This window comes from Homo sapiens, chromosome 11, assembly GCF_000001405.40.
Source record: "Homo sapiens chromosome 11, GRCh38.p14 Primary Assembly".
In the NCBI taxonomy this organism is placed as follows: domain Eukaryota; kingdom Metazoa; phylum Chordata; class Mammalia; order Primates; family Hominidae; genus Homo; species Homo sapiens.
The window spans coordinates 507695-531626 of NC_000011.10; the positions used below are offsets into that span (position 1 = coordinate 507695).

The window sequence follows — 23932 nt, forward strand, 5'->3', positions numbered from 1 at the left end:
CTGGGGCGGCTCCGCATGTCGGGGTCGCGACTCTAGGCGACCTTGGTAGAGGGGCTCGTTTGCGCCGAGCTCGCGACCCCCGAGGGAGCCACGGCCCCGTGAACCACGCTGCCCGTCCTGGCCACTGGCTGCCGCCTTTGTTTCGTGGGACCCCAGCCCGCAAGGCCTGCGGAGCCGCGGCCTCGTCCCGAGTGTTCTGAGCGCGGTCCGAGCTGCTCCTGCGTCCACTCTGCTGCCGACACCCGAGCGTCGCCTGGAGCCCTGGCACTGAGGGGCGCAGGCCGAGTTCCAGACCAGCCTGGGAAACGCAAAGCGACCCCACCTCCACAAAAGTGGGTTTTCTTTAAGTTTTTGACTAGTCCGCAATTCACAGAATTGACATTTTGGCAGATGAAGATTGCAAGTAAGGAAACTAACGGTATCTCAGATTTGTTCTTTAGCAATTTGCTAAACCTCTCCTCTGACTGCCTTTATTAGGTATTTGTTTTCGAGACAGGGTCTCACTCCACTGCTTAGGCTGTACTGCAGTGGCGCGATCCCAGCTCGCTGCAGCCTCCACCTCCCGGACTCCAGTGATCCTCCCGCCTCAGCCTCCCAAGTAGCTGGTACCACAGGCGCCAGCACGCCTGGCTAATTGTTGTATTTTATGTAGAGAAGAGGTCTCCCTGTGTTGCCCAGCCTGGTCTTGAATTGGGCTCAAGTGATCCTCCTGCTTCAGCCTCCCATATCGCTGGAATTACTGGCATAAGCCACTACACCCGGCCTGATCATCTTTAAAGAAGGTGGTTCTGGCCGGGCGTGGTGGCTCACACCTGTAACCCCAACACTTTGGGAGACCGAGAAGGGTGGATCACCTGAGGTCAGGAGTTCAAGACCAGCCTGGCCAACGTGGTGAAACCCCATCTCTACTAAAAATACAAAAATTAGCCAGGCATGGTGGTGGGCACCTGTAATTCCAGCTACTTGGGAGGCTGAGGCAGGAGAATCGCTTGAACACGGGAAGCAGAGGTTGCAGCGAGCCTAGACCACACCATTGCACTCCAGTTCGGGCAACAAGATGAAACTCTGGCTGGGCGCGGTGGCTCACACCTGTAATTCCAACACTTTGGGAGGCCAAGGCAGGCAGATCACCTGAGGTCAGGAGTTCAAGACCAGCCTGGCCAAGATGATGAAACCCCATCTCTACTAAAATTACAAAAACTTAGCCAGGCATGGTGGTGCATGCCTGTAATCCCAGCTACTCAGGAGGCTGAGGCAGGAGAACCACTTGAACCCAGGAGGCAGAGGTTGCAGTGAGCCAAGATCGTGCCACTGTACTCCAGCCTGGGCAACAAGAGCGAAACTCCATCTCAAAAAAGAAAAAAGAAACTCCGTCTCAAAAAGAAGGTGGTTCACACACACACACACACACCCCCAAGAAAGCTCAGGGCTGGAAGGCAGCCAACCTGGCTGTGACCCTCATCCTGCACACGTGAGCTTGGTGACCAGTAGCTGATTCTTTAACTCTCTAAGCTTTGGAGTCTGGATGTGAGGTTTAGAATTCATGACAAGAAGCTGGAAGGATGCCGCCAGTCTGACTCCTGGACTGGTTCTCTTGACATCTTTGCAAAAGCTGCTGAAATGTTCTGGTTTCATTTCATTCTTTTCTTTGCCATGATCTCTTAGATTTGTTCGTGGCAATTCTCATAAGAGTGAAGAAAATGTTTAAAATGGCTGTTGGGCTCCCTTTTGTGACACCTTGTGGGGAAGGTGCCCAGGTATGTATAGGTGCTGAGCGCACGGCCAGCATGGTGTCTGTGGCCGGGCCTCCCTCCTGGACAGTGCGGCCACAGCCCCTGAAAGGTATGTCTTCATTTTTATTTTATTTTATTGAGATGGAGTCTCGCTCTGTCGCCCAGGCTGGAGTGCAGTGGCGCGATCTCGGCTCACTGTAAGCTCCGCCTCCCAGGTTCAAGCCATTCTCCTGCCTCAGCCTCCCGAGTAGCTGGGACTACAGGCACCTGCCACCACGCCCGGCTAATTTTTTTTTTTTTTTTTTTTTTGTAATTTTAATAGAGACAGGGTTTCAGCGTGTTAGCCAGGATGGTCTCGAGCTCCTGACCTTGTGATTCGCCCGCCTCAACCTCCCAAAGTGCCTGGCCTTCATTTTTATTTTTGAACTTACCTGCCTCACCTCGTTATGTCTTTATCTTATTTTTAAACTTACTCAGTTCACCCACTGTGGAATTGGGAGTATATGGAAGTATTCCCACCCCCAGTTTTATATACCGCCCCAGAGCTGACCATTCTCGCTCATTTCCCCGGGTCCTGGCCGACTCGAGTGTGCCTTTCCTTCCGATCCTGCTCCACACAGATCTGAGGGATGCTGCCCTTTCCTTCTCCACCTGCCCCTCCCTCACATCCAGCCCCACCAGCCTACACGTTAGCTTAAATAGGGAGCTTTTACATTCCCCATGAAAGGGAATCCAGGGACAGGCTGAGGCAAGAGACCCCCAGTGTTCATGAGATGCCATCTAGAGAAAACACCGTGGTGCTGAAGGCCTAAGTCAGACCCCGGGGAGAGAGGCACCAGGGTGACTTTGGGTGGAGAGTCCTGTGCCTGTTCTACTTCTATAAATATACTCAGGTCAGGCACGGTGGCTCACGCCTGTAATCCCAGCACGTTGGGAGGCCGAGGCAGGCGGATCATTTGAGGTCAGGAGTTCAAGACTAGCCTGGCCAACATGGTGAAACCCCATCTCTACTAAAAATACAAAAAAATGGCTGGGCACAGTGGCTCACACCTGTAATCCCAGCATGTTGGGAGGCCAAGGCAGGCAGATCATTTGCGGTCGGGAGTTCAAGACCAGCCTGACCAACATGGAGAAACCCCGTCTCTACTAATAATACAAAAATTAGCCAGGCATGGTGGCACATGCCTGTAATCCCAGCTACTCGGGAGACTGAGGCATAAGAATCGCTTGAACCCAGGAGGCAGAGGTTCTGGTGAGCCGAGATCACGCCATTGCACTCCAGCCTGGGCAACAAAAAGCAAAACTCCATCTCAAAAAAAAAATACAAAAAAATGAGCTGGGCGTGGTGGCCTGCACCTGTAATCCCAGCTACTTGGGAGGCTGAGGCAGGAGAATCACTTGAACCCAGAAGGTGGAGGTTGCGGTGAGCAGAGACCACACCACTGCACTCCAGCCTGGGTGACAGAGTGAACCATGTCTCTAAATAAATAAATAATATGTTTGTCTGAAAGTGCCTTTTTAACAAAGTATGAGATGTGTACATAAAGTGCACATAGCGCAAGTGTCGCACGCAGTGGATTTTCACACGCAGCACGTGAAATGGGAAAACACTGGCCCGGCACGGTGGCTCACACCTGTCATCCCAGCACTTTGGGAGGCCGAGGCGGGCGGATCACAAGGTCAGGAGATCGAGACCATCCTGGCTAACACGGTAAAACCGCGTCTCTACTAAAAATACAAAAAATTAGCCGGGCGTGGTGGCGGGCGCCTGTAGTCCCAGCTACTTGGGAGGCTGAGGCAGGAGAATGGCGTGAACCCGGGAGGCGGAGCTTGCAGTGAGCCAAGATCGCGCCACTGCACTCCAGCCTGGGCGACAGAGCTAGACTCCGTCTCAAAAAAAAAAAAAAAAAGAAATGGGAAAACATTGAGGATGAAGTAGCAAATATTTGAGAATTCAACTTGATTGGTGGCTGTTGCAGGTTCATACGTGAGTGGTTACGTAGTGGGTAGTTAAACTGACAATGACCAGCTGAATTTTGGTGACAGGACTGCTCCTAAGGTTTGAAATGTAGCGTATCCTCTGATTCACGGGCTAAGCTCTGCCACTTAGCAGGAGGAGCTCATGATAGAGCAGGTTGAGGGGAAAACTTTGCCCCATAAGGGTTCTTCACTGCAAGTGAGAAGGTCTTGGCTTTGAGCCTCCAATTTCAATCAGACAGAAAGCAGACCAGTCGGCAGGACAGTATATGCCTCTGGAGATCCGTGCTGATGTGGGGGCCTCAGATACAAGATGCCTCAGGGCCCAGGCGTGACCCTCTCCTTCCCTCCTGCACGGAGATGCTGTGAGAATTAGACACTCCCACAGGGCCCTGTCAGACACTGAGCTAGCCTCTGGGAACCGGAAGATATTCAAAACACCAGCCACCCCCCACACACACAGACAAGGCGCTGGAGGGACAGCTGTGCAGCGGCAGAGCATGAGAGGTCTTGATCAGTTAACTCAGTGAGGTTAGGAGGCGAATTTTTTTTTTTTTGAGATGGAGTCTTACTTTGTCACCCAGTCAGGAGTGCAGTGGCGTGATCTCGGCTCACTGCAACCTCCGCCTCCTGGCCTCAAGTGATTCTTCCGCCTCAGCCTCCCGAGTAGCTGGGACTACAGGTGCGTGCCACCACACCCAGCTAATTTTTGTATTTTTGGTAGAGACAGTGTTTCACCACGTTGGACAGGCTGGTCTCAATCTCTTGACCTCGTTATCTGCCTGCCCTGGCCTCCCAAAGTGCTGGGATTATAGGTGTGAGCCACAAAGCCTTTTTGTTTTCATTTTTGAGATGGAGTCTCGCTCTGTCGCCCAGGCTGGAGTGCAGTGGCATGATCTCAGCTCACTGCAACCTCTGCATCCCAGTTCAAGCAGTTCTCCGCCTCGGCCTCCTGAGTAGCTGGGATCACAGGTGCCCGCCACCACACTTGGCTAATTTTTTGTATTTTTAGTAGAGATGAGGTTTCACCGTGGTGGCCAGGCTGGTCTCAAACTCCTGACCTCAAATGATCTGCCTGCCTCGGCTTCCCAAAGTGCTGGGATGACACTGAGCCACCGCGCCTGGCAAGGAGGTAACTTGATCCATACGTTTGCGTTTACATGGTGCGAGGAAAGGGCACCCTTGGTAGATGGAACAGCGTGTACAAAGGCCCGGAGGTTTAAAATCACCACTCTTCTAGCCCTCATACTAACTTTGCCTATTTTGAACTTTATATAAATGGAATTATATTGCATGTTCTCTTTTGTATCTGACTTCCTTTTCTCAATACTATATGAGTGGTATCCATGCCATTTAAAGTAATGGTGGATTAACTCAATGCTACGTCGCCTTCTAGTTGATGGAGGGCAGGCAAGACCCACAGTGGGGCTGAGCCCCTCGAGGGTTCCTGGCTTTGCCCAGGAAACAATTCAAGGGCAAGCTGGAAGTGAAAGTAAACAGGCCAGGCATGGTGGGAGTTACTACCCCTTTCCATGGCAATGACCCCACGACCCAAAAGTTACTACCCCTTCCCTAGAAACTTTTGCCTGGGCTGCCCCTTAATCTACATGAAATTAAAAGTGGGTGTAAATGTGGCTGCAGAACTGTCCTGAGCTGCTGCTCTCAGCACACTCTGCCCAGCACACCCCGCCTGCAGGGGCCGTCGCAGAGCTGTAACCCTGCCGCTTCAAGCTGTTTTGTTTTGTTTTTCTTTCGAGACAGTCTCGCTCTGCTCTTCCAGTTTGAATATCACGCAGGCTGGAGCGCAGTGGCGCAATCTCGGCTCACTGCAACCTCTGCCTCCTGGGTTCAAGCAATTCTGCCTCAGCCACCCGAGTAGCTGGGATTACAGGCACACGCCACCATGCCCGGCTAATTTTTGTATTGTATTAGAGACAGGGTTTCACCATGTTGGCGAGGCTGGTCCCGAACTCCTGGCCTCAAGTGATCTGCCCGCCGTCCGCCTCAGTGTCCCGAGGTGCTGGGATTACAGGTGTGAGCCACCGCACCCAGCAAAAGTGCTTTCTCGAGATGGAATCTGCGCCTGGTGAAGATGCTCTAAACATTGCTGAGATAACAAAGGATTTAGAATATTCCATAAACTTCGTTGGTACAGCAGCGATAGGGTTCGAGAGGATTTTCCAGTTGTGAGAGAAGGTCTGCTGTGGACAAAATGCTACCAAACAGCATCGCGTGCTACGGAGAAATCTTTTGTGAAAGGAAGAAGCTCAATGTGGCCAGCTTTATTGTTGTCTTATTTTAAGAAATTGCTGGCCGGGTGTGGTGGAGAATCACTTGAACCCAGGAGGCAGAGGTTGCAGTGAGCCGAGATCACGCCATTGAACTCCAGCTGGGCATAAGAGCAAAACTCCATCTCAAAAAAAAAAAAAAAAAGGAAGAAATTGCCACAGCCACCTCAGCCTTCAGCCACCACCACCCTGATCAGTCAGCAGCCACAAACAAGACCTTCCACCAGCAAAGAGATCCCAACTTCCTCAAGCCTCAGGTGATTGCTGGCACTTTCTATCAGTATCTTAGTTTTTTGTTTGTTTGTTTTTTAATTTTTGAGACAGAGTCTCACTCTCTTGCCCAGGCTGGAATGTAGTGGCACCATCTCGGCTCACTGCAACCTCCGCCTCCCAGGTTCAAGCGATTCTCTTACCTTAGCCTCCGGAGGAGCTGGGACTACAAGCACGCACCACCACACCCGGCTGATTTTTTTCCATTTTTAGTAGAGACGGGGTTTCACCATGTTGGCCAGGCTGGTCTCGAACTCCTGGCCTCAGGTGATCCGCCCACCTTGGCCTCCCACAGTGCTAGGATTACAGGTGTGAGCCACCACCCCCAGCCATTTTTTTTTTGAGACGAGGTCTTGCTTTGTTGCCCAGACTAGAGTGCAGTGACATTATCTCGGCTCACGGCAACCTCTGCCTCCCAGGCTGAAGCAATCCTCCCACCTCTGTCTCCCTAGTAGCTGGGACCACAGGTGCACACCCCCACACCCGGCTAATTTTTTGTATTTTTGGTAGAGACAGGGTTTCACCATGTTGCCCAGGCTGGTCTCCTGAGCTCATGCAATCTGCCCACTTGACCTCCCAAAGTGCTGGGATTACAGGTGTGAGCCACTGTGCCCAGCCTATTATTATTATTATTTATTGTTTTTTTGGTCTTGAGGGAGGGTAGGGTGGTGGGAGCCCAGTTGGGGAGGGAGTGAGGAGTGGTCAATAAAGTATTTTAAATTGAGGCATATGCATTGTTTTGTAAACATAATGTTATTGCACACCTGACTGCACTGTGGTATAAACATAACTTTTATATGCAGTGGAAAACCGAAAAATCCCTCCGACTGGCTTTATTGCGACATTTGTGTTATTGCGGTGTCTAGAACTGAACCGTGGTAACCCAGGCCCGCCTGTGCTAACTTCCAGCACTACCGAGGTTGACGCAGCTAGATGGTTTTCTCCCCGGCTGGTTGCTGCTTCTCACCCACAGAGGCGGTGGAGCCCTTGGAACTGGGCAGAACACAGGGCTGCCTTGTCACCACTGCCTGGCTGAACCTGAAATTGGGCCGTTTGACAGAAAGACTTGAAAGGGCCACCAGTAAATTCTTTTTTCTTTTCATTGATTTTCCTCTTCTTACTTTCCTCCTCCTGAAGTTGGGGTCATGTCCCAAGAAGACCCACAAGGCCTGGCCTGTGGGTGCACATGTGGGGAGGGTCAGGTCTGTCGGCTGAGGAGGGCATTGGTAGGGGACTTTGAGCAGTGCTGCTCCGGAGACACGAATGATGGGATGGGAGGCTCTCCCATATCTGCCGAGAGCACAGCACCCCATGACTCCTGGGAGCTTGTCATAGATGCTGCAGATGAGTCCTTCCTCAGACGGGATATTTGCTAATGCCTCTGCCAGCCTGGGCTTGTCTTCTCAGGGCCTTTCAAAATGCACACACCCTTCATTCTCATGATGTCCAGTGGATCAGGTTTTCCTTTATGTGTCATGCTTTTAGTGTTTAAGAATCATTTCTCTAACCCAAGTCACACTGACATCCTCCTTTTCATTCTTAACGCACATTTTACAGTTGTAGGCCTTACATTTTGGCTTATAATAAGTTCTGAGGCCAGGCACAGTGCTCACACCTGTAATCCTGGCACTTTGAGAGGCCAAGGCGGGTGGATCACCAGAGGTCAGGAGTTTGACACAAGCCTGGCCAACATGGTGAAACCCCGTCTCTACTAAAAATACAAAAAGTAGCCAGGTGTGGTGGCGGGCACCTGTAATCCCAGCTACTCCAGAGGCTGAGGCAGGAGAATCACTTGAACCTGGGAGACAGAGGTTGCAGTGAGTCAAGATTGTGCCACTGCCCTCCAACCTGGGCGAGAGAGTGAGACTCCATCTCAAAAAAATTAATAGTAAATTTTGAATGGATTTATATATGTACTGTCATGTATAGATTGAAGCTTCCATTCATATGTGTAGCCCCGTCATTCTAGTACCATTTGTTGCTAAGATTCTCCTTTCTCTGCTGAATTTGCTTACACTTATTTCAAAATCAGTTGAGCATGTATGTGAGGGTCTACTCTCGATCCTCTATTCTGTTCCACTGATCTATTTGTCTATCCTGTTACCAATGCCACACTGTCTGGATTTCTGAACCTTTATAACACATCTTGGGCCAGGTGCAAAGGTTCACGCCTGTAATCCTAGCACTTTGGGAGGCCGAGGTGGGTGGATCACTTGAGGCCAGGAGTTCAAGACCAGCCTGGCCAACATGGCGAAACCCGTCTCTACCAAAAATACAAAAACTAGCCAGGCATGGTGGTACACGCCTGTAATCCCAGCTACTCGGGAGGCTGAGGTACAAGAATCACTTGAGCCCCAGAGGCGGAGGCTGCAGTGAGCTGAGATCGTACCACTGCACTCCAGCCTGAGTGACAGAGCGAGCCTCCATCTCAAAAAAAAAAAAACCCAAATCTTGAAGCCAGGCATAGAATGCCCTCTCACTTGACCATTGTTTTCCAGAGCTGTTTTGATGATTGTAGGCCCACAGCATTGCCACACACTGAAACACAGGCCCATGAGCACACATATATGTATAATACAAATATAAGTGCACACCATGACGCAGTGAAATTTATCACAGGAATGCAAGGCTGGTTCAACATGAAATATGAGCCAATGGAATTCACCATATAAGCAGATTAAAAGACAAAAAGACGGCCGGACGTGGTGGCTCACATCTGTGATCCCAGCACTTTGGGAGGCTGAAGCAGGAGGATTCTGAGCAACATAGTGAGACCTGGTCTCTAAATAAATAAAATAAGACAAAAATACATCATCATTTCAGTAGACTTAGAAAAGGCATTTGACAGAATCCAGCAGGCTTATAAAGCTTTTTAATTATTTTTTTCTCCCTCTCCCTCTCCCTCTCCCTTCGGTCTCCCTCTGTTGCCGAGGCTGGACTGTACTGCTGTGGTCTCGGCTTGCTGCAGCCTCCCTGCCCCGGGCTCCCATGGTTCTCCTGCCTCGGCCTGCCAAGTGCCTGGGATTGCAGGCATGCACCGCCACGCCTGACTGGTTTTTGTATTTTTGGAGGAGACGGGGTTTTGCCCTGTTGACCGGGCTGGTCTCCGGCTCCTGACCTCCAATGGTCTGCCCGCCTCGGCCTCCCGGGGTGCTGGGATTGCAGACGGAGTCTTGCTCACTCAATGCTCAGTGTTGCCAAGGCTGGAGCGCAGTGGCGTGATCTCAGCTCGCCACAACCTCTACCTTCCAGCTGCCTGCCTTGGCCTCCCAAAGTGCTAAGATTACAGCCTCTGCCCGGCCGCCACCCCGTCTGGGAGGTGAGGAGCATCTCTGCCCGGCCGCCCATCGTCTGGGAGGTGAGGAGCGCCTCTGCCCGGCCGCCCGGTCTGGGAAGTGGGCGCCTCTGCCCAGCTGCCCCGTCTGGGAGGTGGGGGGCGCCTCTGCCTGGCTGCCCCGTCTGGGAGTTGAGGGGTGCCTCTGCCCGACCGCCCCACCTGGGAAGTGAGGGGCACCTCTGCCCAGCCACCGCCTTATCTGGAAGGTGGGGAGCGCCTCTGCCCGACTGCCCCGTCTGGGAAGTGGGCGCCTCTGCCCGGCCGTCCCATCTGGGGGGTGAGGAGCACCTCTGCCCGGCCACCCCGTCTGGGAGGTGAGGAGTGCCTCTGCCAGGCCGCCCCGTCTGGGAAGTGTACCCAACAGCTCCAAAGAGACAGCGACCATCGAGAACGGGCCATGATGACAGTGGCAGTTTTGTCAAAAAGAAAAGGGGGAAATGTGGGGAAAAGAAAGAGAGGTCAGATTGTTACTGTGTCTGTGTAGAAAGAAGTAGACATAGGAGACTCCGTTTTGTTCTGTACTAAGAAAAATTCTTCTGTCTTGGGATGCTGTTAATCTATAACCTTACCCCCAACCCCGTGCTCTCTGAAACGTGCTGTGTCAACTCAGGGTTAAATGGATTAAGGGCGGTGCCAGATGTGCTTTGTTAAACAGATGCTTGGAGGCAGCATGCTCGTTAAGAGTCATCACCATTCCCTAATCTCAACTACCCAGGGACACAAACACTGCGGAAGGCCGCAGGGACCTCTGCCTAGGAAAACCAGAGACCTTTGTTCACGTGTTTATCTGCTGACCTTCTCTCCACTATTATCCTATGACCCTGCCACATCCCCCTCTCTGAGAAACACCCAAGAATGATCAATAAATAAAAAATAATAATAATAAAATTTTTTTTTTTTTGAGATGGAGTCTCGCTCTGTCGCCTAGGCTGGAGTGCAGTGGCCCATCTCAGCTCACTGCAAGCTCCGCCTCCCGGGTTCACGCCATTCTCCTGCCTCAGCCTTAGGAGTAGCTGGGACTACAGGTGCCCGCCACCACGCCCAGCTAATTTTTTGTATTTCTGGTAGAGACGGGGTTTCATGGTGTTAGCCAGGATGGTCTCGATCTCCTGACCTCGTGATCCACCCGCCTCGGCCTCGCAAAGTGCTTGGGATTACAGGCGTGAGCCACCGCGCCAGGTCAGCTTTTTAAATTTTTTTTGTATTGTTGGTAGAGATGGGGTTTCATTTGGCCAGGCTGGTCTCCAACTCCTGACTTCGTGATCCGGCCGCCTCCGCCTCCCAAAGTGCTGGGATTACAGACGTGAGTCACCCTGCCCGGCCGCCTGTTCACTTTATTACTTGGAGACCGTATTCCATTCCCATAACCCAGGGGAGGAGGCACGCACGAGCCGACACCAGCAGGTGGGGCAGGAAACGCAGCCAGCGCGGAACCGGACGCCCAGGAGCCGGCCCCGGGCTGCCCACGACGGGGCCGCCGGAGAGGACTCGCGGCGCCCCCTCCTGGATGTGGCCGGCGGCGCGCGAGGAAGGAGCCGCCCCGAACGCGCGAGCGAGGCCGGGACTCGGGCGCCCTCTGCCGGCCGCTCTGAGGGACCGGGGCGGGGGGGCGTGTCTCCCGGTCACGTGACCTGGAAACCCCGCCCCCAAACCGAGGGGAACTTGCGGCCCCAAGACGCGGCGCGCTTACGAGGGCGCGCGAGGCGCCGCACGGGGGAGGCTTCTCCGAAAGCCGCGAGGGCAGCTCCCGTGTGTCCGCTGTGCAAACCGGTCCTTCCGCCAAAAACCTGCTGTCTGGCTTTTCTCAGGTAAGAACTACCCAAAAGCTAGACGACATTTTCAGAACATACAAGTACAAATAAGAAGAGGGAAAATCACCCGCAGTTCACCCCTGAGCCGCGCGCATTCCTTAGATCTCCGTGTTTCTTCCTAAAGGAACGTGGCCTGATACACAGGTGAGCTTTATTAGAACGCGGGCTGATACACAGGTGAGCTTTATTAGAACGCGGGCTGATACACAGGTGAGCTTTATTAGAACGCGGGCTGATACACAGGTGAGCTTTATTAGAACGCGGGCTGATACACAGGTGAGCTTTATTAGAACGCGGGCTGATACACAGGTGAGCTTTATTAGAACGCGGCCTGATACACAGGTGAGCTTTATTAGAACGCGGCCTGATACACAGGTGAGCTTTATTAGAACGCGGCCTGATACACAGGTGAGCTTTATTAGAACGCGGCCTGATACACAGGTGAGCTTTATTAGAACGCGGCCTGATACACAGGTGAGCTTTATTAGAACGCGGCCTGATACACAGGTGAGCTTTATTAGAACGCGGCCTGATACACAGGTGAGCTTTATTAGAACGCGGCCTGATACACAGGTGAGCTTTATTAGAACGCGGCCTGATACACAGGTGAGCTTTATTAGAACGCGGCCTGATACACAGGTGAGCTTTATTAGAACGCGGCCTGATACACAGGTGAGCTTTATTAGAACGCGGCCTGATACACAGGTGAGCTTTATTAGAACGCGGCCTGATACACAGGTGAGCTTTATTAGAACGCGGCCTGATACACAGGTGAGCTTTATTAGAACGCGGCCTGATACACAGGTGAGCTTTATTAGAACGCGGCCTGATACACAGGTGAGCTTTATTAGAACGCGGCCTGATACACAGGTGAGCTTTATTAGAACGCGGCCTGATACACAGGTGAGCTTTATTAGAACGCGGCCTGATACACAGGTGAGCTTTATTAGAACGCGGCCTGATACACAGGTGAGCTTTATTAGAACGCGGCCTGATACACAGGTGAGCTTTATTAGAACGCGGCCTGATACACAGGTGAGCTTTATTAGAACGCGGCCTGATACACAGGTGAGCTTTATTAGAACGCGGCCTGATACACAGGTGAGCTTTATTAGAACGCGGCCTGATACACAGGTGAGCTTTATTAGAACGCGGCCTGATACACAGGTGAGCTTTATTAGAACGCGGCCTGATACACAGGTGAGCTTTATTACTGATTTTTTTTTTTTATGGGGAATCTCGCTCTGTCGCCCAGGCTGGAGTGCAATGGTGCGATCTCGGCTCTCTGCAACCTCCGCCTCCCGGGTTCCAGTGATTCTCCTGCCTCAGCCTCCCGAGTAGCTGGGATTACGTGCGCCACCACGTCCGGCTCATTTTTTTGTATTTTCAGTAGGGACGGGGTTTCATCATGTTGGCCAGGCTGGTCTCAAACTCCTGGCCTCAAATGATCCGCCCACCTCAGCCTCCCAAAGTCCTGGCGTTACAGGCATGAGCCACCGCGCCCGGCCTAGTATTGAATATTTCAAACATACAAACAGGTTTTTTAAAAATAATGAGCCCCATGCCTGACCTCTCCCCTTAAACACATGCTCAGAGCCCCCCGAGTCGCCCTCTCCCCTCCATCCAGGGTCTCCTGGAGGCCTCTGCCGCCTGAGTTCTGTCTCCGTCCTTTCTGTTCCCTGAGGCCGTGCTCACCCCTACGCCTTCCCAGATGGCGAGGGCCTTTCCTGCGCCTCTGAACAATTTGGAAACGCTGCACAATGCGCACCCACCCGCCAGCTGCTGGTTCCATTCAACAGAATTGGGGTGGGAATTGTCCATATTGAGACCGCGTCGGTTATTCATCTCAGCTGCTGTTGACTACTCCGCTGCCTGAACACCGGCATTTACTCACCGATGCTCTCGTCTTGTCTGACTTTATGCAAACACTGCCACCGCCAGCGTACTCCGGACCTCTGTGTGCCCAGACACGGGGCAGACGCCCTGCCAGGCCCAATCGCCCCCCAGCGGTGGCTCTCAGAATTTACGCTCCCGCCCCAGGGCACAGGCTCCCTCCCCGCTCCAGACCTTCACTAGCCACTGGTTCGACTGCCTCAGGCCTCCCTGTCCCCACCCTAGTCATGAGAATATGAAATGGTAACTCACCATGGGTCTAGCTGGCATTTCACCAAGTACTAGTCAGGCATACTTCCGCTTGGTTCTGCCTGTTCCTACCCTTTGCTTTGTGCGTTTTGAGACAGGCATCTGGAGTGCAGTGCCATGATCACAGGTCACTGCAGTCTGAACCACCTGGGCTCAAGCAACCCTCCTGCCTCAGCCTCCCGAGAAGCTGCGACTACAAGCACACACCACTGTGCCCAGCTAATTTTTGTATTTTTGGCAGGGACGGGATTTTGCCATGTTTTCCAGGCTGGCCTTGAACTCCTAGCTCAAGCAACTGGCCCACCTCAACCTCTCAAAGTGCTAGGATTATAGGTGTGAGCCCCTGCACCCAGCCAAGAGATATTTTCAAAAACAATTACAGCCCGGTGAGGTGGCTCACGCCTGTAATCCCAGCACTTTGGGAGACCGAGGCGGGCAGATCACGAGGTCAGGAGATCGAGACCATCCTGGCTAACACGATGAAACCCCGTCTCTACTAAAAAATACAAAAAATTAGCTGGACGTGGTGGCGAGCGCCTGTAGTCCCAGCTACTCGGAAGGCTGAGGCAGGAGAATGGCGTGAACCTGGGAGGCAGAGGTTGCAGTGAGCCGAGATCACGCCACTGCACTCCAGCCTGGATGACAGAGCAAGACTCCGTCTCAAAAAAAAAACGATTAAAATCAGCTGCCCAAAACAGCTCTCATAACCCAAATGAAGGCAGAAAAGGGAAGATAAGATACAGGAAACAAATAGCATGAATGGAAAAATAAAAAAATCTAAATCCAAATATATCAATAATTACATTAAATGCAAATGGTCCAAGCATATTAATCAATTCTTTTTTTGAAAGAGTGTCTTGCTCTGTCATGCAGGCTGGAGTGCAGTGGTACGATCACGGCTCACTGCAGTCTCAACCGCCTGGGTTCAAGTGATTCTCACTTTATCCTCCAGAGTAGCTGAGACTACAGGCACGCACCACAATGGCTGGCTGATTTCTGGTTTTTTTGTTTTGTTTTGTTTTGTTTTGTTTGAGACAGAGTCTCACTCTGTCGCCCAGGCTGGAGTGCAGTGGCGCGATCTCAGCTCACTGCAAGCTCTGCCTCCCGGGTTCAGGCCATTCTCCTGCCTCAGCCTCCCAAGTAGTTGGGACTACAGGCGGCCGCCACCACGCCTGGCTAATTTTTTGTATTTTTTAGTTGAGACGGGGTTTCACTGTGTTAGCCAGGATACTCTCGATCTCCTGACCTCGTGATTCGCCCACCTCGGCCTCCCAAAGTGCTGGGATTACAGGCGTGAGCCACCGCACCTGGCCATTTCTGTACTTTTTGTAGAGATGGAGTTTCACCATGTTGCCCAGGCTGGTCTCAACTCCTGAGCTCAAGCAATCCGCCCACCTTGGCCTCCCAAAGTGCTGGGATTACAGGAGTGGGCCACCTCACCTGCCCTTTTTTTGTTTTGTTCTGGTAAATAAATTCTGACATTCTCTGTATACATTTTCTTTTCTTTTGAGACAGAGTTTCACTCGTTCCAAAGCGCAAAGGTTGGAGTGCAGTGGCGCAATCTCGGCTCACTGCAACCGTCACTTCTTGGGTTCAAGCGATTCTCCTGCATCAGCCTCCCAAGTAGCTGGAATTACAGGCATGTGCTTCCACGCCCGGCTAATTTTTGTATTTTTAGTAGAGACGAGGTTTCACCATGTTGGCCAAGCTGGTCTCTGTATATATTTTCTATGTACAGAGATAATCTATTACTGTTGTAAAACAACAATATATAGTTTTTTGTTTTGTTTTGTTGAGACTGAGCCTCGCTATATCACCCAGGCTGGAGTGCAATGGCGCCATCTCTGCTCACTGCAGCCTCCACCTCCCAGGTTCAAGCGATTCTCCCTCCCCAGCCTCCTGAGTGGCTGGGATTACAGGCACGCACCACCATGCCTGGCTAATTTTTGTATTTTTAGTAGAGGCAGAGTTTCACCACGTTGGTCATGCTGGTCTCGAACTCCCGAACTCAGGTGATTCGCTCGCTTTGGTCTCAAAGGCGGGATTACAGCATGAGCCACCTCGCCCAGCAATATATAGTTTTAAAAAGCAATCTGGGGGCCGGGCGTGGTGGCTCATGCCTGTAATCCCAGCACTTTGGGAGGCTGAGGCAGGCAGATCATGAAGTCAGGAGTTTGAGACCAGCCTGACCAACATGGTGAAACCCCATGTCTACTACAAATACAAAAATTAGCCACGTGTGGTGGTGGGCACCCATAATCCCAGCTACTCAGGAGGCTGATGCAGGAGAATCGCTTGAACCCTGGAGGTGGAGGTTGCAATGACCCAAGATTGCGCCACTGCACTCCAGCCTGGGCAACAGAGACTCCATCTAAAAAAAAAAAAGCCGGGGTTGGGGGGCCGGGCGCGGTGGCTCACGCCTATAATTCCAGCACTTTGGGAGGCCCAGGCAGGTGGATCATGAGATCAGGAGTTCAAGACCAGCCTGGCCAATATGGTGAAATCCTGTCCGTAAAAATACAAAAATTAGCCGGGTGTGGTGGCGCACGCCTGTAGTCCCAGCTACTCAGGAGGCTAAGGCAGAAGAAACACTTGAACCTGGGAGGCAGAGGTTGCAGTGAGCCGAGATTGTGCCACTGCACTCCAGCCTGCGTGACAGAGCAAGATCCTGTCTCAAAAAAGAATAATAAACAAAATAAAAAGAAAACTACAAGATCTGAAGAAAAAAATTTAAAGACCTAAATAAATGGAGAGACATACCACATTCTTACATGCAGACATACTATCATACAGGTATCGGTTCTCGGTAATTGATCTATGGATTCATTGCAATTCCAATCAAAATCCCAGCAGGACTTTCTGTAGATTTAGACAAACTGATTCTAAATGCACCACACGTGGAAAAATGAAAGAAGACTCACATAACCCAACGTTACACTGACTGTGGAGTGACAGCGTGAGGCCAGCTTGGTGTTGGAGAAGGGGCAGACACACACCGAGGGAAGACGATGGAGATCCCAGAAACGGACGCACACAAATATGGCTCATGGATTATTGACCAAGGTACACAAGCAATTCAGTAGAGAAAGGAAGATCTGGCCGGGCGCGGTGGCTCACACCTGTAATCCCAGCACTTTGGGAGGCTGAGGCGGGTGGTTCACCTGAGGTCGGGAGTTCAAGATCAGCCTGACCAACATCGAGAAACCCCGTCTCTACTAAAAATACAAAATTAGTCAGGCATGGTCGCAGGTGCCTGTAATCACAGCTACTCGGGAGGCTGAGGCAGGAGAATCGCTTGAACCCGGGAGGCGGAGGTTGTAGTAAGCCGAGATTGCACCATTGCACTCCAGCCTGGGCAAAAAGAGTGAAACTCTGTCTCAAAAAAATAAATTAATTAATTAAAATAAAATAAAAAAGAGAAAGGAAAATCTTTTCAACAAGCAGTGTGGGAACAACTGGGCATTCTTATGCAGAAAAATGAATCTTGACCTAAACGTCATAACTTAGACCTATGATCCATTTTGAGACAATCTTGTATAAGTATAAAATATAAAAACTGGTGGGGCATAGTGGCTCATGCCTGTAATCCCAGCACTTTGGGAGGCCGAGGCGGGTGAATCATGAGGTCAGGAGATCAGGACCATCCTGGCCGACATGGTGAAACCCTATCTCTACTAAAATACAAAAACAAAAATTAGCTGGGCGTGGTGGTGCCTGCCTGTAGTCCCAGCTACTCAGGAGGCTGAGGCAAGGTAATCACTTGAACCCAGGAGGTGGAGGTTGCAGTGAGCCAAGATCTCACCGCTGCACTCCAGCCTGGAGACAAAGCAAGACTCCGTCTCAAAAAAAAAAAAAAATAGACAACTTGGGGCCGGGCGCGGTGGGTCACACCTGTAATCCCAGCACTTTGGGAGGCCGAGGCGGGCAGATCACCTGAGGTCGGGAGTTTGAGACCAGCCTGGCCAACATGGTGAAACCCTGTCTCTACTAAAAATACAAAAATCAGGCCAGGCACGGTGGCTCACGCCTGTAATCCCAGCACTTTGGGAGGCCAAGGCGGGCGGATCACGAGGTCAGGAGATCGAGACCATCCTGGCTAACACGGTGAAGCCCCATCTCTACTAAAAACACAAAAAATTAGCCGGCCGTGGTGGCGGCCGCCTGTAGTCCCAGCTACTCGGGAGGCTGAGGCAGGAGAATGGCGTGAACCCAGTAGGCGGAGCTTGCAGTGAGCCGAGATCGCGCCACTGCACTCCAGCCTGGGTGACAGAGGTGACAGAGTGAGACCCTGTCTCAAAGAAAAAAAAAAAAATCTCAAAAACATAACCAAATTAAAAAACCAGTTTCCAAAATGAACAAAGGGCTGGGTGAAGTGGCTCATGCCTGTAATCCGAATACTTAGAGAGGCTGAGGCAGAAGGATCACTTGAGGCCAGGAGTTTGAGACCAGCCTGGCCAACATAGTGAGACCTGGTCTGTACGAAAAATTAAAAAAGCATTTAGCCAGGCATGCTGGTGCACGCCTGTAGTCCTAGCTACTCGGGAGACTGAAGCAGAAGGATCACTTAAGCCAGGCAGGTTGAGGCTGCAGTGAGCTACCATCACACCACACTCCAGCCTGGGGGACAGAGCCAGACCCTGTCTCCAACAAATAAATAAATAGGCCAGGCGCGGTGGCTCACACCTATAATCCCGGCATGATCCTTCCCTTTGGGAGGCCAAGGCAGGCAGATCACCTGAGGTCAGGAGTTCAAGACCAGTATGGGCAACCTGGTGAAACCGTGTCTCTACTAAAAGTATAAAAAATTAGCCGGGCGTGGTGGCAGGTGCCTGTAGTCCCAGCTACTCGGGAGGCTGAGGCAGGAGAATCGCTTGAAACTGTGAGGCGGAGGCTACAGTGAGCCAAGATCGCACCACTGCACTCCAGCCTGGGCGACAGTGAGACTCCGTCTCAAAAGTAATAAAATAAAAACAAAACTAAAAATAAGATGAAGACTTGAACAAAAACTTCAGCAAAGGGGACCTGCAGCAGGCACACAGCGCTAAGGAGACGTCCAGGCTGTGGCCACCAGCCAACTGCAAACTGAAACCATAACGAGATCCCGCAACACGCCCAAGATGAAAATCACGGGCGACAGGACTCCGATGCATCCCGGCTGAGAAGGCAAGGGGCCCGGCACGCTGGACAGTCAGGTGCAGAGTCAGGCACATACCACAGGACCCAGCAACCCCGCCCCCAGTGTCTCCCCTAACAAACTGAAAGTCTACGTCCTCGGGGGGCACGGTACACAAATGCCTATGGAGGAGGCTCCAGTCGTAACAGGCAAGATCTGGCAGCAAACTAAATATTCTTTAGCAGGTGAACAACCTGTGCTACATCCCTACAAAGAAATACTGCTCAGTGGCCGGGCACGGTGGCTCATGCCTGTAATCCCAGCACTTTGGGAGGCCCAGGTGGGTGGATCACCTGAGGTCAGGAGTTGGAGACCAGCCTGGCCAACATGGCAAAACCCCGTCTCTACTAAAAATACAAAAATTAGCCAGGCATGGTGGTGGGCACCAGTAGTCCCAGCTACTGGGGAGGCTGAGACAGGAGAATTGCTTGAACCTGGGAGGCGGAGGTTGCAGTGAGCCAAGATCACGCCACTGCACTCCAGCCTGGGCGACAGAGCGAGACACCGTCTAAAAAAAGAAAAAAAAAGAAATATTGTTCAGCAAAAATGCACAGGCACACACACCAATCTTCTAATGTTAGAAATTTTGGGACTGGCCAGGTGCGGTGGCTCACGCCTGTAATCCCAGCACTTTGGGAGGCCGAGGCGGGCAGATCATGAGGTCAGGAGCTCCAGACCATCCTGGCTAACACGGTGAAACCCCGTCTCTACAAAAATACAAAAAAATTAGCCGGGTGTGGTGGCGGGCACCTGTAATCCCAGCTACTCAGGAGGCTGAGGCAGGAGAATCACTTGAACCCAGGAGGTAGAGGTTGCAGTGAGCTGAGATCGCGCCACTGCATGCCAGCCTGGCCAACATCAAGACTCCATCTCAAAAAAAAAAATTTGCAACGTGCCGTGTGGCACTGTGCTAACCACGAGCACCTTGCGCAGTGAACTCTGGGACTCACGCATCTTCCCAGACTGAAATCTGTTATCAGTTGAACAGCAACTCCCAGCTCCCCTCCCCAGCCCCTGCCCACGGCCACCCTACTTTCTGCTTCTGAGTTTGACTGCCTCACAGCAGAGAGTCATGCACTTGGCAAAACGATAGGGTAAGGGTTTTGTTTAGTTTTGGTTTTTTTGAGACGGAGTCTTGCTCTGTCCCCCAGGCTGGAGTGCAGTGGCGCTATCTTGGCTCACTGCAAGCTCTGCCTCCCAGGTTCACGCCATTCTCCTGCCTCAGCCTCCCGAGTAGCTGGGATTACAGGCGCCCGCCACCACGCCCGGCTAATTTTTTTTTTTTTTTTTTTGAGACAGAGTTTCGCTCTTGTTGCCCAGGCTGGAGTGCAATTCCGCGATCTCGGCTCACCGCAACCTCCACCCACTGGGTTCAATCGATTCTCCTGCCTCAGCCTCCCAAGTAGCTGGGATTACAGTCATCCACCACCACACCCGGCTAATTTTGTATTTTTTTAGTAGAGACAGGGTTTCTCCATGTCGGTCAGGCTAGTCCCGAACTCCTGACCTCAGGTGATCCGCCCGCCTCGGCCTCCCAAGGGCTGGGATTACAGGCGTGAGCCACCGCACCCGGCCAATTTTTGTATTTTTAATAGAAACAGGGTTTCACCGTGTTGGCCAGGCTGGTCTTGAACTCCTGACCTCAGGTGATCCACCCGCCTCAGCCTCCCAAAGTGCTGGGATTACAGGCTTGAGCCACCGTGCCCGGCCTGAAACTCTACATTTTTATCCAGGCCTCCCTGGATGGATGTTGGGAGAGTTTACGCGTGGCCTTGTGGGATCGCTGTGGCGGACTCTCAGCTATCAGAGGGCTCCATCACTCCATCGTAAGGAGGCAGCTGGTGGCGAGTCCTGAGCAGGGATGTGATCCGACGGGCAGGCGGCGCCCGGGACAGAAGCTGACGTCACACAGGTGAGTCCCCCACCTCCCCACAGGCTTCCTCCACCCCCTCGGCAGCCCAGCAGGGCCTGTCAATCAGTGGGACCTGGTCAGCTGGCTGCTAGGGGACCTCAGGCAGGGGGGCTTGTCCGCAGGGCCTCCAGCAAGGGGGGACATTCATGACACCCAGCAGGGCTCAAGAAGGTGAGACAGAGGGACACTGAACCCAGCCCTTTACAGAAGACCTGAGTCCACCGAGGAAGGGGGCCAACCCCCTCCCCGCGTCTGCATCCCCAGGACCACCCCGGGTGGAGAGGGCCGAGTGTGGTGCCTCCGCGGGTGCTCTGACGATCGTCTCGAGCCACGGGGGTGACAGTGACAAGGACCTGTGTGCACGTTAGTGGGGCAGCCAGGCCTAGCTGGAGAAGAAACACACACACGCACACGTTCACCCACATACACGTGCACACACATGCTGCCAGTTCAGGGGGTGGAGGACGCTGACTCCAGGCCCAGCTGACCTGCGCGGGGCCCTATTGTGATGTGTGCAGCCACCCCATGACGTCACCGGTGCCAAGTGCCGGCTGTGTGCGGAGCAGTTGGAGACACAGTGGGTGTCCGAGGGGGGGCTCTGCGTCCGGAGGTGAGAGGTGGGTCTCAACACAGCTGCCCTCCCCCATGGTATGGTGACAGTCACTAACAGGTGGCCTGCGCTGGCCTCCACGTGGCTGCCAAGGGCCATCCCTGAGCACTCAGCGGGTGCCTGTTCCACACGGACTATGAAAATGACTGTCTCGTTCACCTCACGGCGACCCCGTGGGGTGGATACGAACTCACGCCATTTGACAGGCGAGACGTCCGAGGTCAGAGGGGAGGAGACGGACCCGACCTTCCTTGGCTGTGCTCTCCAGCCCTGTCCTGTGCTGGACCCAACCTAACCTCTGCAGCCTCCCTGCCCTGGACACAAATCTGGCTGAGACCCCAGACCCTGATGGGGCAGAGCCTGGCACTGGAGGAGCCACCAGGATGGGCCCCTGTGGGTGTGGGCAGAGGGTGATCCTCAGTTCAGGTTTTTGCCAGAAGATGGGTTCCTGCAGGAGGGGGTCTCAGCAGCTCAGACTTCAGATGCGCTCACTGCTGCTCACTGTGGGACAGCCAGACACGGAGCCCTCTGTTCTCCAGCAGTTGTGGACAATGAGGGATCCCTGGAGGGATGCCTGGTGGGCAGCAGGAGTCCCTCTTGTGGGTCAGGGTGCGGGGATGGGCTCTCCCTGCAGGGACTTCCCAGTCTTGTCCTCTGGGATTGGCAGTTTGCAGGGGTATCCTCGGCATCAGACCAGGGGGGCCACACAGGGACCCAGATCTATGGGGCCCAGCCCCGGGAAGACCAGATGGGCTCAGTGGAGAAGCTGACCACATCTGCTTTCCTTTCAGCCAAACCGGGGAGCGTCCCGGCACCCAGGCCTCTGCGGGTAACCCCAGGCATCAAGACCCTCCCTCAAGGGGAGGAGCTGGCTCTCCCCTGCCCATCAGCACAGCTCCAGAATCCCAAGGGGTCAGCTCCCACATGGGGGCCTGGTCCTGCCACACACTGGCCTAGCTGGGCTGTCCCCGAGGCCAAGGCCTAGCGGCATGAGGGGGCTTCCGTGGAGCCCAGGGCAGTGGGCTGCTCTCTGGAGTCCCTAGGACTCGGGGTGTGGCTGGCCTGTCCCCAGATCAGGACACACCCCAGGTTGTCCAGTGGTTCCCGTGCTGGAACTCCTGTTGAAGCCACCCAGGGACCTGGATGCTTCCCACAGTTCAGCATGGAGCAGGGGTGCTGGGCCCTGACCCCTCCACGTCTGTCCTGGACACCCCAGGACCACAGCACAGGCCCAGCCCTGCAACCCCAGCGGGGCCCTGATACCAGGCCCTGCCCAGCCCCGTAATGACCAAGAGGCAGGTCCAGAGATACCTCCTGCACAGGGTCACCTGCATCTGACGCCCCCAGCAGGCAGTGACCAGCACGGTGTGGAAGGAGCCAGGGTGGCACCCGGCAGCCCTAGAGGGCTCCTGGCCTCGGGAAGTCTATCGATGGGGAAGCTGGTCACTCGGAGGCTGCTGGGGAGAAGGGGGAGTGTGGCATTCCCTGGACAGAAGGGCAAGTGTGGCGTCCCCTGGAGAGAAGGGCGAGTGTGGCGTCCCCTGGAGAGAAGGGCGAGTGTGGCGTCCCCTGGAGAGAAGGGCGAGTGTGGCGTCCCCTGGACAGAAGGGGGAGTGTGGCGTCCCCTGGAGAGAAGGGGGAGTGTGGCGTCCCCTGGAGAGAAGGGGGAGTGTGGCGTCCCCTGGAGAGAAGGGCGAGTGTGGCGTCCCCTGGACAGAAGGGGGAGTGTGGCGTCCCCTGGAGAGAAGGGGGAGTGTGGCGTCCCCTGGAGAGAAGGGGGAGTGTGGCGTCCCCTGGAGAGAAGGGGGAGTGTGGCGTCCCCTGGAGAGAAGGGCGAGTGTGGCGTCCCCTGGAGAGAAGGGCGAGTGTGGCGTCCCCTGGACAGAAGGGGGAGTGTGGCGTCCCCTGGAGAGAAGGGCCAGTGTGGCGTCCCCTGGAGAGAAGGGGGAGTGTGGCGTCCCCTGGAGAGAAGGGGGAGTGTGGCGTCCCCTGGACAGAAGGGGGAGTGTGGCGTCCCCTGGAGAGAAGGGCCAGTGTGGCGTCCCCTGGAGAGAAGGGCGAGTGTGGCGTCCCCTGGACAGAAGGGGGAGTGTGGCGTCCCCTGGAGAGAAGGGCGAGTGTGGCGTCCCCTGGAGAGAAGGGCGAGTGTGGCGTCCCCTGGAGAGAAGGGGGAGTGTGGCGTCCCCTGGACAGAAGGGGGAGTGTGGCGTCCCCTGGAGAGAAGGGCGAGTGTGGTGTTCGCTGGAGAGAAGGGCGAGTGTGGTATTCCCTGGACAAAAGGGGGAGTGTCCCTGCAGCCCTGGCCAGCCAGCGGCATGCCCTGCTAGCTCTCCCCCAACCTCAGGGATAGGGAACCCTGACAGGGCACAAGTCCCCGTCCCAGAGGGGCCTGGCCCAGCCTCAACCCGGGCCCTGGGAGGGGAGGGGCACCAGGGGCGCTGTGGGCCCCCAGCAGAAGCCAGGATGACCACACAGGGGACTGAGCTGTCTGTGGCTGTGGCCAGACCTAGAACTTGGCCCAAGGCAGGGCAAGCCCCTTGGAGCAGAGTGGGTGGCAGAGCCTGTGTATACCCAGCAAGGCTGAGCCAGTGACACTACCAGGCTCCAAGAGCAACCAGCCATGAGGCAGGCGTGGGGCAAGGGTAGGGTGAGGGCAGGGGCGGGGGAGAGTGGGGCAGG

General features: G+C 53.8%; 1 protein-coding gene across 6 annotated transcripts in view, besides 1 other annotated feature; it reads left to right on the forward strand.

Annotated features, from left to right (window-relative positions):
- LRRC56 (leucine rich repeat containing 56) overlaps nucleotides 1–23932 on the forward strand; it is a 48451-nt gene that overhangs the window by 1233 nt on the left and 23286 nt on the right. For 4 of the 6 annotated variants that reach the window (XM_017017167.2, XM_011519875.3, NM_001441284.1 and 1 more), the window contains exons 1-2: nucleotides 11294–11413; nucleotides 20465–20643. The gene's annotated coding sequence lies outside the window, so the exon portion shown is untranslated. Of the gene's footprint in view, nucleotides 1–11293; nucleotides 11414–16241; nucleotides 16622–20464; nucleotides 20644–23932 lie in introns of those variants that run through there. The other 2 variants (XM_017017168.2, XM_047426336.1) reach the window with 2 other exon arrangements.
- Nucleotides 20811–21348: an enhancer, noted in NCBI's record as "H3K4me1 hESC enhancer chr11:528505-529042 (GRCh37/hg19 assembly coordinates)". NCBI's record gives its function as "activates a minimal SCP1, AML or CMV promoter by ChIP-STARR-seq in naive H9 embryonic stem cells {active_cell/tissue: H9 hESC(naive)}" and the evidence as "EXISTENCE:reporter gene assay evidence [ECO:0000049][PMID:30033119]".